The following is a 17,001-nucleotide window of genomic DNA, read 5'->3' on the forward strand; positions in this document are numbered from 1 at the left end:
TTTTGAGACAGAGTCTCGCTCTGTTGCCAGGCTGGAGTGCAGTGGCGCGATCTCGGCTCACTGCAACCTCCGCCTCCTGGGTTCAAATGATTCTCCTGCCTCAGCCTCCCAAGTAACTGGGACTACAGGCATGCGCCACCATGCCCAGCTACTTTTTGTATTTTTAGTAGTGGCGGTGTTTGACCACGTTGGCCAAGATGGTCTCGATCTCTTGACCTCGTGATCTGCCTGCCTCAGCCTCCCAAAGTGCTGGGACTACAGGCGTGAGCCACCGTGCCTGGCCTTTTATTTTATTTATTAAGTAATACACATGCTTGGAAGTTATTTAAAAAAAAAAAAAAGGAATAGTTAAAAGTAATCCCCCTCCCAGTGCTTTTCTCCAGCTGCCCCATTCCTTTTCCTGGAGGCAAATTATTATGGCCAGTTCATTATATATTCTCCAGAGATGATTTTTTTTTATTTTACAAAGGTATAGGTTGTAGCATTCTTATATAAACTGTTGTGTAGCTTCCTTTATTCCATTTAATTACTGGGAGATACTTCCATCTGAAAATATAGAGATACTAATTTTAATAGCTACATGGTATTATATTGTGTGGCTGTACCATAAATTATTTAACATAACCCTTATTGATGTAGGTTGTTTCTAACCTTTTATTACTGCAAAAGATTGTGCCTACATCATTTAATGTATATATGAGCATATTTGTCAGATATATATATATATATTTTTTGAGACAGTGTCTCACTCTGTCACCCAGGCTGGAGTGCAGCATCACAATCTCACCTCACTGCAGTGTCCACCTCCTGGGTTCAGGTGATTCTTCTTCCTCAGCCTCCCAAGTAACTGGGATTACAGGTGCCTACCACCATGCCCTGCTAATTTTTGTATCTTTTTAGGAGAGACGGGATTTCACCATGTTGGCCAGGTTGGTCTAGAACTCCTGGCCTCAGGTGATCCACTGGCCTTAGCTTCCCAAAGTGCTGGGATTATAGGCGTGAGCTACCACACCCAGCCTGTCAGATAAATTCTTAAAAGGGTCAAGGAAAGTGTTTCTGAAATTTTATACATATTGCCAAATTGTCATCCTACATGATATTTGTGGCAGTTTTGACTCTCAAAAGCCACATGAGAGAGTATCTGTTTTCCCACATGCTTGCCAAACATAGTATAGTATCAAGCTTACTGATCTTCACTAATTGGAGAAGAGAAAAAAACTGTACCTTGTTGCAGTTTTAATTTGCATTTCTTTTTATGAGCAATAGTAGATATCTTCTTAAATACTTAAGAGCCATTCACATTTCATTTTCTATGAACTGTCCATGTCCCTTGTCCATTTTTTAGTATGTGGTTATTCATTTATTTGTAGGCGTCCTATATGTTAAGAAAAGTTTTATACAACTTTTAACTCTTTTTACATGTTTATTTTGGCACATATAAATTTTAGCAAACTTTCCCATCTTTTATGACTTCTAGATTTTGTTTCACAAAAAAAGAGCTTAGCCAGTCATTAGATTTTTTTAAGTTTTCTCAGATTGTTTTTAACTTTTGGGGGGGTTTTATTTCCTGTATTCAAATATTAAATTCATCTAGAATTTATCTTAAAGTGTAAGGGAATGATCCCACTTTATCATTTTTTCAGGAGATTACCCAGTTGTTCTAATATCAAGTATGTCTTTGAAATCCCATCCTTATCTTGTAGCATATTTCTGTGGTTTGGGTCTATTTTTGAACATTCTGTTTTATTCCATTGATCATATTAATATTATATGTGCAAACACAAACTATTTTAAGTATAGTAGCTTTGTTGCTTTTAAATATCTTTTAATTTGGCTACTAGGCCCCATACAATTCTTTTTCAGAATATTCCTGGCTACCCAATTTGTTTATTTTTCCAAATGAACTTTGGAGTCAACTTCCTTAATTCCTCAAAATATTCTGCAAGTACTTTTAGTAAGAGTATATTAAGTGAATAATTTGACAACTATCTAAGAACATATTATAGCTTTTCCCTTGTTTTGTTTTTGTACTTATATATTAGTATAGTTTTAAAGTTATATTAAAATAGGTCTTCCACATTTTAAAAACTTATTCCTAGTGTATTAATTTCTTCTATTATAACTACAGTATTTTATTCCAGTAAAACTTCTGACTGGTTGATGCTCTTATAAATCAAGGCTATAAATTTTTCTTCAGCTACTTTGCTGAATTCTCACAAACTGTAACCATTTTTTACTTGATTCTCTAGGTTGACCAGTATATAATCTTTTTATCTGTAAACAATAACTTTAGCGTTGCTTTCAACATCTATATTCTTATTCTATTTCATTTTTCTTGTTTATCAAGAAATAGCTGTTTTAATAGAGTTGTTTTTCGCCCAAAAAGAAAATAGTCTTTCTTTTTCTACTTATATCTTTAAAATAAATGTAATGAGAAAGACTGTGGGAAAATAAAGCAGACACCTTATACAATGGATTAATTTTTTTAGTGCCATTTCTTCTGGCTTTCTCTATTATTGGGACTCTGAAATCTTCGTTAGTACTACTCTCAAAAATGTTCGAATGAATGCAATCAGATTCAAGGGTACAAGTGCAGGTTATATAGGTGAATTGCATGCCTTGGGGGTTTGGTGTACAGACTATTTTGTCACCCAGGTAATAAGCGTAGTACTTAATAGGTAGTTTTTTGATCCTCTCCCTTCTCCCATCCTCAAAGTATCCCTGCTGTCTGTTGTTCCCCCTCTTTGTGTCCATGTGTTCTTGCTGTTTAGCTGCCACTTAAGAGAACATGTGGTATTTTTCTGTTCCTTTGTTAGTTTGTTTAGGATAATGGCCTCCAGCTCCATCCATGTTGCTGCACAGAACACGATTTTGTGTTTCTTTATGGCTGTGTAGTATTCCATGGTGTATATGTAACACTTTCTTTATCCAGTCTACTACTTACGGACATTTAGGTTGATTCCATGTCTTCGCTATCATTAATAGTGCTGTGATGAACATACGTGTGCAATATGCCTTTATGGTAGAATGATTTATATCCCTTTGGGTAATATGCCGAATAATGGGATTGCTCGGTCAGATGGCAATTCTAAGTCCTCTGAAATTACCGCACTGCTTTCCACAACAGCTGAACTAGTTTACATTCCCACAAGCAATAAGGGGATAAGTGTTCCCTTTTCTCTGCAGGAATGATTAATTCTTTTAGAGAGTCAAAGATGGAATCCTAGGGAAGATGATATCTGAGGCAGGTTTAGAGTCATTGGGCAAATAAGGGGATTAAGAAGGCATTCTAGGCAGACAGAAAACCAAAGGCATGAAGCTCTGAAACAGCTTACTATGTTTGGATATTTATAAGCTGTTGTTATTGTTGGAGTATAAACTGTAAGAGAGAGTAGGAGGACAGAAAAAACAGCCTGTATGCGGGGGGAAGAAAACATTTAAACAGAAATTCTCAAAAGATTTGGGCAGCCAGCCCCTCTAGAGAAAAACATAGAATCACCTAGAAAGGGTTTTTCATAAAGTACACTTTTCATCACCCCTATTCTGTCACCTGGAATATTGATAACACTGAAGGGAGTGTGCCTTATCTCTCAGGTGTATTTGGATGAAATAGTTTGAGAACCATGCAGGCAAGTTTAAGCCAGTGTGTTAAAGAGAATATGACATCAGATTTGCATTTTACAATCTTCCTTTTGATAACAAAGGGAACCTTAAAGGGCTGGAGGGGAAGGGCAGACGGGGCTAGGGGAGGAGAACCCTTTTAAAAAGCTACTGCAGGTGGGGTGCGGTGGCTCACACCTGTAATCCCAGCACTTTGGGAGGCCAAGGCAGGCAGATCACCTGAGGTCAGGAGTTCAAGACCAGCCTGGCCAACATAGTAAAACCCCATCTCTACTAAAAATACAAAAATTAGCTAGGCATGGTAGCAGGCACCTGTAATCTCAGCTACTTGGGAGGCTGAGGCAGGAGAATTGCTTGAACCTGGGAGGCAGAGGTTGCAGTGAGCCAAGATTGTGCCGCTGCACTCCAGCCTGGGCAAGAGAGTGAGACTCCATCTCAAAAAAAAAAAAAAAAAAGCTACTGCAGTAGATCAGGAGGAGGCACAGTGATAAAGAGAAGATCTGAGCTATGAAGTGGCAGTCAAGATGATTAAAGGAATATATAGGAAGTACAGTTGATAGAACTTAGCAAGTGATTAGGTAAATGAAGTGCTAGAGAAAATAAAGGGGATATTTTTCAATTGTTTTTAGCATTTTGGCAAAAAATTATTTAGGAATGAAATTGATGCTAGTAACTAAGAGTATGAACTTCCCACATTAGCTGGTAATTTTGATCACCCTTGTTCTCCATGACCATAAATATTTTAGAGTTGCTATGAAGACAAGAATGTTTATTTCCTGAGTAGCTGTCAGTTGTCACTATGAAACATGAAAATAAATATCAGTTTGCTATGTCTAGGTATTCCGATATTTATCCACAATTATTCCTTAAGATATATTAGTATTTTTATAGATAGATAGATAGATAGATAGAAATAAACACATTTTAATTTTTGTTTCCATGCTCTTTAGAATTCAACTAGAGGGCAGCCTTGTGGATGGCCCCGAAGCAAGCCTGATGGAACAGGATAGAACCAACCATGTTGAGGGCAACAGACTAAGTCCATTCCTGATACCATCACCTCCCATTTGCCAGACAGAACCTCTGGCTACAAAGCTCCAGAATGGAAGCCCACTGCCTGAGAGAGCTCATCCAGAAGTAAATGGAGACACCAAGTGGCACTCTTTCAAAAGTTATTATGGAATACCCTGTATGAAGGGAAGCCAGAATAGTCGTGTGAGTCCTGACTTTACACAAGAAAGTAGAGGGTATTCCAAGTGTTTGCAAAATGGAGGAATAAAACGCACAGTTAGTGAACCTTCTCTCTCTGGGCTCCTTCAGATCAAGAAATTGAAACAAGACCAAAAGGCTAATGGAGAAAGACGTAACTTCGGGGTAAGCCAAGAAAGAAATCCAGGTGAAAGCAGTCAACCAAATGTCTCCGATTTGAGTGATAAGAAAGAATCTGTGAGTTCTGTAGCCCAAGAAAATGCAGTTAAAGATTTCACCAGTTTTTCAACACATAACTGCAGTGGGCCTGAAAATCCAGAGCTTCAGATTCTGAATGAGCAGGAGGGGAAAAGTGCTAATTACCATGACAAGAACATTGTATTACTTAAAAACAAGGCAGTGCTAATGCCTAATGGTGCTACAGTTTCTGCCTCTTCCGTGGAACACACACATGGTGAACTCCTGGAAAAAACACTGTCTCAATATTATCCAGATTGTGTTTCCATTGCGGTGCAGAAAACCACATCTCACATAAATGCCATTAACAGTCAGGCTACTAATGAGTTGTCCTGTGAGATCACTCACCCATCGCATACCTCAGGGCAGATCAATTCCGCACAGACCTCTAACTCTGAGCTGCCTCCAAAGCCAGCTGCAGTGGTGAGTGAGGCCTGTGATGCTGATGATGCTGATAATGCCAGTAAACTAGCTGCAATGCTAAATACCTGTTCCTTTCAGAAACCAGAACAACTACAACAACAAAAATCAGTTTTTGAGATATGCCCATCTCCTGCAGAAAATAACATCCAGGGAACCACAAAGCTAGCGTCTGGTGAAGAATTCTGTTCAGGTTCCAGCAGCAATTTGCAAGCTCCTGGTGGCAGCTCTGAACGGTATTTAAAACAAAATGAAATGAATGGTGCTTACTTCAAGCAAAGCTCAGTGTTCACTAAGGATTCCTTTTCTGCCACTACCACACCACCACCACCATCACAATTGCTTCTTTCTCCCCCTCCTCCTCTTCCACAGGTTCCTCAGCTTCCTTCAGAAGGAAAAAGCACTCTGAATGGTGGAGTTTTAGAAGAACACCACCACTACCCCAACCAAAGTAACACAACACTTTTAAGGGAAGTGAAAATAGAGGGTAAACCTGAGGCACCACCTTCCCAGAGTCCTAATCCATCTACACATGTATGCAGCCCTTCTCCGATGCTTTCTGAAAGGCCTCAGAATAATTGTGTGAACAGGAATGACATACAGACTGCAGGGACAATGACTGTTCCATTGTGTTCTGAGAAAACAAGACCAATGTCAGAACACCTCAAGCATAACCCACCAATTTTTGGTAGCAGTGGAGAGCTACAGGACAACTGCCAGCAGTTGATGAGAAACAAAGAGCAAGAGATTCTGAAGGGTCGAGACAAGGAGCAAACACGAGATCTTGTGCCCCCAACACAGCACTATCTGAAACCAGGATGGATTGAATTGAAGGCCCCTCGTTTTCACCAAGCGGAATCCCATCTAAAACGTAATGAGGCATCACTGCCATCAATTCTTCAGTATCAACCCAATCTCTCCAATCAAATGACCTCCAAACAATACACTGGAAATTCCAACATGCCTGGGGGGCTCCCAAGGCAAGCTTACACCCAGAAAACAACACAGCTGGAGCACAAGTCACAAATGTACCAAGTTGAAATGAATCAAGGGCAGTCCCAAGGTACAGTGGACCAACATCTCCAGTTCCAAAAACCCTCACACCAGGTGCACTTCTCCAAAACAGACCATTTACCAAAAGCTCATGTGCAGTCACTGTGTGGCACTAGATTTCATTTTCAACAAAGAGCAGATTCCCAAACTGAAAAACTTATGTCCCCAGTGTTGAAACAGCACTTGAATCAACAGGCTTCAGAGACTGAGCCATTTTCAAACTCACACCTTTTGCAACATAAGCCTCATAAACAGGCAGCACAAACACAACCATCCCAGAGTTCACATCTCCCTCAAAACCAGCAACAGCAGCAAAAATTACAAATAAAGAATAAAGAGGAAATACTCCAGACTTTTCCTCACCCCCAAAGCAACAATGATCAGCAAAGAGAAGGATCATTCTTTGGCCAGACTAAAGTGGAAGAATGTTTTCATGGTGAAAATCAGTATTCAAAATCAAGCGAGTTCGAGACTCATAATGTCCAAATGGGACTGGAGGAAGTACAGAATATAAATCGTAGAAATTCCCCTTATAGTCAGACCATGAAATCAAGTGCATGCAAAATACAGGTTTCTTGTTCAAACAATACACACCTAGTTTCAGAGAATAAAGAACAGACTACACATCCTGAACTTTTTGCAGGAAACAAGACCCAAAACTTGCATCACATGCAATATTTTCCAAATAATGTGATCCCAAAGCAAGATCTTCTTCACAGGTGCTTTCAAGAACAGGAGCAGAAGTCACAACAAGCTTCAGTTCTACAGGGATATAAAAATAGAAACCAAGATATGTCTGGTCAACAAGCTGCGCAACTTGCTCAGCAAAGGTACTTGATACATAACCATGCAAATGTTTTTCCTGTGCCTGACCAGGGAGGAAGTCACACTCAGACCCCTCCCCAGAAGGACACTCAAAAGCATGCTGCTCTAAGGTGGCATCTCTTACAGAAGCAAGAACAGCAGCAAACACAGCAACCCCAAACTGAGTCTTGCCATAGTCAGATGCACAGGCCAATTAAGGTGGAACCTGGATGCAAGCCACATGCCTGTATGCACACAGCACCACCAGAAAACAAAACATGGAAAAAGGTAACTAAGCAAGAGAATCCACCTGCAAGCTGTGATAATGTGCAGCAAAAGAGCATCATTGAGACCATGGAGCAGCATCTGAAGCAGTTTCACGCCAAGTCGTTATTTGACCATAAGGCTCTTACTCTCAAATCACAGAAGCAAGTAAAAGTTGAAATGTCAGGGCCAGTCACAGTTTTGACTAGACAAACCACTGCTGCAGAACTTGATAGCCACACCCCAGCTTTAGAGCAGCAAACAACTTCTTCAGAAAAGACACCAACCAAAAGAACAGCTGCTTCTGTTCTCAATAATTTTATAGAGTCACCTTCCAAATTACTAGATACTCCTATAAAAAATTTATTGGATACACCTGTCAAGACTCAATATGATTTCCCATCTTGCAGATGTGTAGGTAAGTGCCAGAAATGTACTGAGACACATGGCGTTTATCCAGAATTAGCAAATTTATCTTCAGATATGGGATTTTCCTTCTTTTTTTAAATCTTGAGTCTGGCAGCAATTTGTAAAGGCTCATAAAAATCTGAAGCTTACATTTTTTGTCAAGTTACCGATGCTTGTGTCTTGTGAAAGAGAACTTCACTTACATGCAGTTTTTCCAAAAGAATTAAATAATCGTGCATGTTTATTTTTCCCTCTCTTCAGATCCTGTAAAATTTGAATGTATCTGTTTTAGATCAATTCGCCTATTTAGCTCTTTGTATATTATCTCCTGGAGAGACAGCTAGGCAGCAAAAAAACAATCTATTAAAATGAGAAAATAACGACCATAGGCAGTCTAATGTACGAACTTTAAATATTTTTTAATTCAAGGTAAAATATATTAGTTTCACAAGATTTCTGGCTAATAGGGAAATTATTATCTTCAGTCTTCATGAGTTGGGGGAAATGATAATGCTGACACTCTTAGTGCTCCTAAAGTTTCCTTTTCTCCATTTATACATTTGGAATGTTGTGATTTATATTCATTTTGATTCCCTTTTCTCTAAAATTTCATCTTTTTGATTAAAAAATATGATACAGGCATACCTCAGAGATATTGTGGGTTTGGCTCCATACCACAATAAAATGAATATTACAATAAAGCAAGTTGTAAGGACTTTTTGGTTTCTCACTGTATGTAAAAGTTATTTATATACTATACTGTAACATACTAAGTGTGCAATAGCATTGTGTCTAAAAAATATATACTTTAAAAATAATTTATTGTTAAAAAAATGCCAACAATTATCTGGGCCTTTAGTGAGTGCTAATCTTTTTGCTGGTGGAGGGTCGTGCTTCAGTATTGATCGCTGTGGACTGATCATGGTGGTAGTTGCTGAAGGTTGCTGGGATGGCTGTGTGTGTGGCAATTTCTTAAAATAAGACAACAGTGAAGTGCTGTATCAATTGATTTTTCCATTCACAAAAGATTTCTCTGTAGCATGCAATGCTGTTTGATAGCATTTAACCCACAGCAGAATTTCTTTGAAAATTGGACTCAGTCCTCTCAAACTGTGCTGCTGCTTTATCAACTAAGTTTTTGTAATTTTCTGAATCCTTTGTTGTCATTTCAGCAGTTTACAGCATCTTCATTGGAAGTATATTCCATCTCAAACATTCTTTGTTCATCCATAAGAAGCAACTTCTTATCAAGTTTTTTCATGACATTGCAGTAACTCAGCCCCATCTTCAGGCTCTACTTCTAATTCTGGTTCTCTTGCTACATCTCCCTCATCTGCAGTGACCTCTCCACGGAAGTCTTGAACTCCTCAAAGTAATCCATGAGGGTTGGAATCAACTTCTAAACTCCTGTTAATGTTGATATATTGACCCCCTCCCATGAATTATGAATGTTCTTAATAACTTCTAAATGGTGATACCTTTCCAGAAGGCTTTCAATGTACTTTGCCCGGATCCATCAGAAGACTATCTTGGCAGCTGTAGACTAACAATATATTTCTTAAATGATAAGACTTGAAAGTCAAAAGTACTCCTTAATCCATAGGCTGCAGAATCAATGTTGTATTAACAGGCACGAAAACAGCATTAATCTTGTGCATCTCCATCGGAGCTCTTGGGTGACTAGGTGCCTTGAGCAGTAATATTTTGAAAGGAGGTTTTGGTTTTGTTTTTTGTTTTTTTTTTTTGTTTTTTAGCAGTAAGTCTCAACACTGGGCTTAAAATATTCAGTAAACTATGTTGTAAAAAGATGTGTTATCATCCAGACTTTGTTGTTCCATTACTCTACACAAGCAGGGTACACTTAGCATAATTCTTAAGGGCCTTGGAATTTTCAGAATGGTAAATGAGTATGGGCTTCAACTTAAAATCATCAACTGCATTAGCCTGTAACAAGAGAGTCAGCCTGTCCTTTGAAGCAAGGCATTGACTTCTATCTATGAAAGTCTTAGATGGCACCTTGTTTCAATAGTAGGCTGTTTAGTACAGCCACCTTCATCAGTGATCTTAGCTAGATCTTCTGCATAACTTGCTGCAGCTTCTACATCAGCACTTGCTGCCTCACCTTGTCCTTTTATGTTATAGAGACAGCTGCGCTTCTTAAACTTTATAAACCAACTTCTGCTAGCTTCCAACTTCTCTTCTGCAGCTTCCTCATTCTCTTCATAGAACTGAAGGGAGTCAAGGCCTTGCTCTGGATTAAGCTTTGGCTTAAGGAATGTTGTGGCTGACGTGATCTTCTATCCAGACCACTAAAGCGCTCTCCATATCAGCAATAAGGCCGTTTTGCTTTCTTACCTTTCATGTGTTCACTGGAGTAATTTCCTTCAAGAATTTTTCCTTTACATTCACAACTTGGCTAACTGGCATGCAAGGCCTAGCTTTCAGCCTGTCTTGGCTTTTGACATGCCTTCCTCACTTAGCTCGTCATATCTAGCTTTTGATTTAAAGTGGCAGGCATACAACTCTTCCTTTCACTTGAACACTTAGAGGCCACTGTAGGGTTATTAATTGGCCTAATTTCAATATTGTTGTGTTTTAGGGAATAGAGAGGCCCAGGGAGAGGGAGAGAGCCCAAACGGCTGGTTGATAGAGCAGGCAGAATGCACACAACATTTATCAGATTATGTTTGCACCATTTACCAGATTATGGGTACGGTTTGTGGCACCCCCCAAAAATTAGAATAGTAACATCAAAGATCACTGATCACAGATCGCCATAACATAAATAATAATAAACTTTAAAATACTGTGAGAATTACCAAAATGTGATACAGAGACATGAAGTGAGCACATGCTGTTGAAAAAAATGACACTGATAGACATACTTAACACGTGGGATTGCCACAAACCTTCAGTTTGTAAAAGTCACAGTAACTGTGACTCACAAAAGAACAAAGCACAATAAAACGAGGTATGCCTGTATTTTTAAAAAAAGCTTTTTGTTAAAATTCAGGATATGTAATAGGTCTGTAGGAATAGTGAAATATTTTTGCTGATGGATGTAGATATATACGTGGATAGAGATGAAGATCTTAATTATAGCTATGCAGCATAGATTTAGTCAAAGACATTTGAAAAGACAAATGTTAAATTAGTGTGGCTAATGACCTACCCGTGCCATGTTTTCCCTCTTGCAATGAGATACCCCACACTGTGTAGAAGGATGGAGGGAGGACTCCTACTGTCCCTCTTTGCGTGTGGTTATTAAGTTGCCTCACTGGGCTAAAACACCACACATCTCATAGATAATATTTGGTAAGTTGTAATCGTCTTCACTCTTCTCTTATCACCCACCCCTATCTTCCCACTTTTCCATCTTTGTTGGTTTGCAACAGCCCCTTCTTTTTGCCTGACTCTCCAGGATTTTCTCTCATCATAAATTGTTCTAAAGTACATACTAATATGGGTCTGGATTGACTATTCTTATTTGCAAAACAGCAATTAAATGTTATAGGGAAGTAGGAAGAAAAAGGGGTATCCTTGACAATAAACCAAGCAATATTCTGGGGGTGGGATAGAGCAGGAAATTTTATTTTTAATCTTTTAAAATCCAAGTAATAGGTAGGCTTCCAGTTAGCTTTAAATGTTTTTTTTTTCCAGCTCAAAAAATTGGATTGTAGTTGATACTACATATAATACATTCTAATTCCCTCACTGTATTCTTTGTTTAGTTTCATTTATTTGGTTTAAAATAATTTTTTATCCCATATCTGAAATGTAATATATTTTTATCCAACAACCAGCATGTACATATACTTAATTATGTGGCACATTTTCTAATAGATCAGTCCATCAATCTACTCATTTTAAAGAAAAAAAAATTTTAAAGTCACTTTTAGAGCCCTTAATGTGTAGTTGGGGGTTAAGCTTTGTGGATGTAGCCTTTATATTTAGTATAATTGAGGTCTAAAATAATAATCTTCTATTATCTCAACAGAGCAAATTATTGAAAAAGATGAAGGTCCTTTTTATACCCATCTAGGAGCAGGTCCTAATGTGGCAGCTATTAGAGAAATCATGGAAGAAAGGTAATTAACGCAAAGGCACAGGGCAGATTAACGTTTATCCTTTTGTATATGTCAGAATTTTTCCAGCCTTCACACACAAAGCAGTAAACAATTGTAAATTGAGTAATTATTAGTAGGCTTAGCTATTCTAGGGTTGCCAACACTACACACTGTGCTATTCACCAGAGAGTCACAATATTTGACAGGACTAATAGTCTGCTAGCTGGCACAGGCTGCCCACTTTGCGATGGATGCCAGAAAACCCAGGCATGAACAGGAATCGGCCAGCCAGGCTGCCAGCCACAAGGTACTGGCACAGGCTCCAACGAGAGGTCCCACTCTGGCTTTCCCACCTGATAATAAAGTGTCAAAGCAGAAAGACTGGTAAAGTGTGGTATAAGAAAAGAACCACTGAATTAAATTCACCTAGTGTTGCAAATGAGTACTTATCTCTAAGTTTTCTTTTACCATAAAAAGAGAGCAAGTGTGATATGTTGAATAGAAAGAGAAACATACTATTTACAGCTGCCTTTTTTTTTTTTTTTCGCTATCAATCACAGGTATACAAGTACTTGCCTTTACTCCTGCATGTAGAAGACTCTTATGAGCGAGATAATGCAGAGAAGGCCTTTCATATAAATTTATACAGCTCTGAGCTGTTCTTCTTCTAGGGTGCCTTTTCATTAAGAGGTAGGCAGTATTATTATTAAAGTACTTAGGATACATTGGGGCAGCTAGGACATATTCAGTATCATTCTTGCTCCATTTCCAAATTATTCATTTCTAAATTAGCATGTAGAAGTTCACTAAATAATCATCTAGTGGCCTGGCAGAAATAGTGAATTTCCCTAAGTGCCTTTTTTTTGTTGTTTTTTTGTTTTGTTTTTTAAACAAGCAGTAGGTGGTGCTTTGGTCATAAGGGAAGATATAGTCTATTTCTAGGACTATTCCATATTTTCCATGTGGCTGGATACTAACTATTTGCCAGCCTCCTTTTCTAAATTGTGAGACATTCTTGGAGGAACAGTTCTAACTAAAATCTATTATGACTCCCCAAGTTTTAAAATAGCTAAATTTAGTAAGGGAAAAAATAGTTTATGTTTTAGAAGACTGAACTTAGCAAACTAACCTGAATTTTGTGCTTTGTGAAATTTTATATCGAAATGAGCTTTCCCATTTTCACCCACATGTAATTTACAAAATAGTTCATTACAATTATCTGTACATTTTGATATTGAGGAAAAACAAGGCTTAAAAACCATTATCCAGTTTGCTTGGCGTAGACCTGTTTAAAAAATAATAAACCGTTCATTTCTCAGGATGTGGTCATAGAATAAAGTTATGCTCAAATGTTCAAATATTTTGATTGCCTCTTGAATTCATTTGCTAATTGTATGTGTGTGTGTTTCTGTGGGTTTCTTTAAGGTTTGGACAGAAGGGTAAAGCTATTAGGATTGAAAGAGTCATCTATACTGGTAAAGAAGGCAAAAGTTCTCAGGGATGTCCTATTGCTAAGTGGGTAAGTGTGACTTGATAAAGCCTTTGGTCTTAAATCTTGGGCATTTTGATTTGTAAATCTGACCCTGAGAATTGGGTTACCCAGATCAAAGACTCATGCCAGTTAAAAAGAACATTACCTGTATTTTTTATCATGTGTTATCTCTTAAGAAGAGGCAGATTAGTTCTAAAATCAACAAATTGTATTTAATTGAAATAATTTAGTGATGAGGAAGAGGTCCATTCTAGTGCCTGCTAAATGTATAATCCTTCTTAGAATGTGAAGTTGTCCTTAAACTTTTAAATACCTTCAGTTAATCTTTATATTGTCATTTATGAAAACCTTGAACTAAGACTTATGTATCTTTCATCTAGCTCTGGTTTTAATGCAGGTAGCATTTAATTGTCCCCACTGTACTGGGTATAGTCTGCTAAACATTAAGGAGTAGTTTTGCATCTCTCCTTGTTCTGATACTAGGGTCAAAGCCCACTTTTTATAGATGGGCAGCAAAAGGCACATTGGACATGCTGATAAATGTTGCCCTAATTGTGATCTAAACATGATAAAATATACATACATAAGTGCCCTTATCTGCTGCAAGTGACCCTTGTTTTGTTTTGGTTGGGGTGGGGGGTGTTTGGGATGGAATGGTGATCCACGCAGGTGGTTCGCAGAAGCAGCAGTGAAGAGAAGCTACTGTGTTTGGTGCGGGAGCGAGCTGGCCACACCTGTGAGGCTGCAGTGATTGTGATTCTCATCCTGGTGTGGGAAGGAATCCCGCTGTCTCTGGCTGACAAACTCTACTCGGAGCTTACCGAGACGCTGAGGAAATACGGCACGCTCACCAATCGCCGGTGTGCCTTGAATGAAGAGTAAGTGAAGCCCAGGGCCTCTCCCCTCTTTGCGGCCACTGATAGGAAAGCCCAATCTTTGGTTGAAAGGAAGAGAGTTCAGCGTGCACTTTTACATTTATAAAATGGGCATCAAAATGCCTGTTTGGCAGTCATGCGATAAGAAGTTGTATTTGCTAATGTGAATAACTTGAGATGATTTCATTATCTGAATTGTACAGTTTAGCCATTAATTAGGAGCAGTCAGAGTGTCTGTAACCACATGGCCTCAGTTATACCATAAACTTGAAATTGTTTATGTGCTCACATGCTACAAGTGACGGCTCCTGTGTGCCTGGCCACTATATTAGTATGTATTGACTCCACTTCCATGTTGCAGTATCTGAAACAGAAAGTAAGTCTAATGAGAAACTTTGGGATTCCCAGGTCAAATACCTTCCATATGTATGTAGCAAAAACAAAATACAAAGCCTAGAAGTTCTGTAGAAATAGAACTGATTTTTACTTTCATTCAAACTATTCATTATTTCCACAATAGTAATCAAAACTGCTTCTACTTTTACTGCTGCTAAATGATCAGCAAATTACTGGATATGGATATATATTATTTTCCAGGAATATAAGAATTTAGAATAGAACTGCAAGAGTATGCACTTAAATATATTTAGTGCATCCAGTTGCTAATGTTTTGTTTTAAACACCATCCACTTTGCATGAAGTCTAAACCTTCAGTTGGAAAAAGCCTCATTTTTAATATTCCTCTACTGTGCTGATAATCCTGTATAACACTAAAAGAATAGATGAATGTTCACGGTGCTACACAGAAATGTTTTTTTTTTTTTTTTTTTTTTTTTTGAGATGGAGTTTCGCTCTTGTTGCCCAGGCTGGAGTGCAATGGCGCGATCTTGGTTCACCGCGACCTCCACCTCCCAGGTTCAAGAGATTCTCCTGCCTCAGCCTCCCTAGTAGCTGGGATTACAGGCATGTGCCACCACACCCGGCTAATTTTGTATTTTTAGTAGAGACAGGGTTTCTCCATGTTGGTCAGGCTGGTCTCGAACTCCCGACCTCAGGTGATTGCCCACCTCGGCCTCCCAAAGTGCCTTACAGGCATGAGCCGCCGCGCCTGGCCAGAAATCTTACAAGTTATTTTGCCCACGATTGGTTTTAAAATAATTTTAATTTTGCACTATTTCCTTTAGTGTCTTTTTCTCTGCATCCACCAAACTATAGAATCATTTGCTGAGCTTATAAGAAATGCTCATACTGCTCATTGCAACAGCTAGCCAAATTTGTCCTTTGCTGTTTAAAACTCTAACTAGCATGGTTTTACTAAATTTATGTTAACACAGTTTCTCTCTCTGGGTTGTGGGGAGACAAATCAATTATAAATAATCTCTTTAGAAAAGTTACTCTTTCTATATGAAAGTGTGACTTGACTTTCTATGATAATTATGATCCAAAAATTTTATGGTGTGTACCTGACCACTTTTACAAATGATTAATTGGAAGGTAGAAATTGCTGATTCATAACATGTAACTTATAAACTTATGATGGACTACTTTAAGCATAAATTTTTTTTTTTTTTTTAAGACAGAGTTTCACTCTGTCACCCAGGCTGGAGTGCAATGGTGCGATCTCGGCTCACTGCAACCTCCATCTCCTGGGTTCAAGCAATTCTCCTGCCTCAGCCTCCCGAATAGCTGGGATTACAGGCATGCACTACCACACCCAGCTAATTTTGTATTTTTAGTAGAGACAGGGTTTCTCCATGTTGATCAGGCTGGTCTGGAACTCCTGACCTCGGGTGATCCGCCCGCCTCGGCCTCCCAGAGTGCTGGGATTACAGGCATGAGCCACTGTGCCCAGCCTGAAATATTTTTTTAATCTACCCTGACTCCTCTTGCTCTTTCTGAAGAAAAATTTTTAAAAATGTATGTAGGTGCCTTTAATTAGAAAAAAAATTAAAAATTAAGGCAACTTGTGCTCATATTGGTAATAGCATTTCTTTCAAGAACTCAGTAATACTGCATTGTCTTTAAAGCATAATATCTCTTAGACTTGACGGTTTGAGATTCTAAATCACTGAAGAACCTCTTGTGAAAATGATAGTTTTAAAATTTCTTTTCAAAAATAGTCCTATTGCAAAATGTTTGATTTTCTTGAAGTTTCCTGGAAACTATATTTCATTCATTGTAATGAATTTAATTTTCATTAACATAGATCTCTAATATTTTTCTCAGCTCACCACAACCTCCACCTCCCGGGTTCAAGTGATTCTCATGCCACAGCCTCCCGAGTAGCTAGAATTACAGGCACCCACCCGGCTCATTTTTGTATTTTTAGTAGAGACAGGGTTTCACCATGTTGGCCAGATTGATCTCGAACTCCTGGCTTCAGGTAACCCACCCACCCTGGCCTCCCAAAGTGCTGGGATTACAGGTGTAGGCCACCATGCCCAGCCAGCTTTTCCATAATTCTTATAAATGCCAATGCCTGAAATGGAATCTGACATATAAAAAATTACATGAAGAACTTTTATTATTTTGCATTTGAAAACCATGAAAA

General features: G+C 38.5%; 1 protein-coding gene and 1 long non-coding RNA gene across 14 annotated transcripts in view; one reads left to right on the forward strand and one right to left on the reverse strand.

Annotated features, from left to right (window-relative positions):
* Positions 1–17,001, forward strand: part of TET2 (tet methylcytosine dioxygenase 2) — a 133,929-nt gene that overhangs the window by 83,451 nt on the left and 33,477 nt on the right. For 4 of the 13 annotated variants that reach the window (XM_024454103.2, XM_024454102.2, NM_001127208.3 and 1 more), the window contains 4 exons: positions 4,572–8,026; positions 12,014–12,104; positions 13,509–13,602; positions 14,245–14,453. In XM_024454103.2, the coding sequence (XP_024309871.1) occupies positions 4,618–8,026; positions 12,014–12,104; positions 13,509–13,602; positions 14,245–14,453 (3,803 nt within the window). In that variant the 5' untranslated portion in view covers positions 4,572–4,617. Of the gene's footprint in view, positions 1–4,571; positions 13,447–13,508; positions 13,603–14,244; positions 14,454–17,001 lie in introns of those variants that run through there. The other 9 variants (XM_017008319.2, XM_047415843.1, XR_007057933.1 and 6 more) reach the window with 8 other exon arrangements.
* Positions 1–17,001, reverse strand: part of TET2-AS1 (TET2 antisense RNA 1) — a 181,528-nt gene that overhangs the window by 57,972 nt on the left and 106,555 nt on the right. The gene's annotated exons all lie outside the window — the stretch shown is intronic.

Source organism: Homo sapiens, chromosome 4, assembly GCF_000001405.40.
Source record: "Homo sapiens chromosome 4, GRCh38.p14 Primary Assembly".
NCBI lineage: Eukaryota > Metazoa > Chordata > Mammalia > Primates > Hominidae > Homo > Homo sapiens.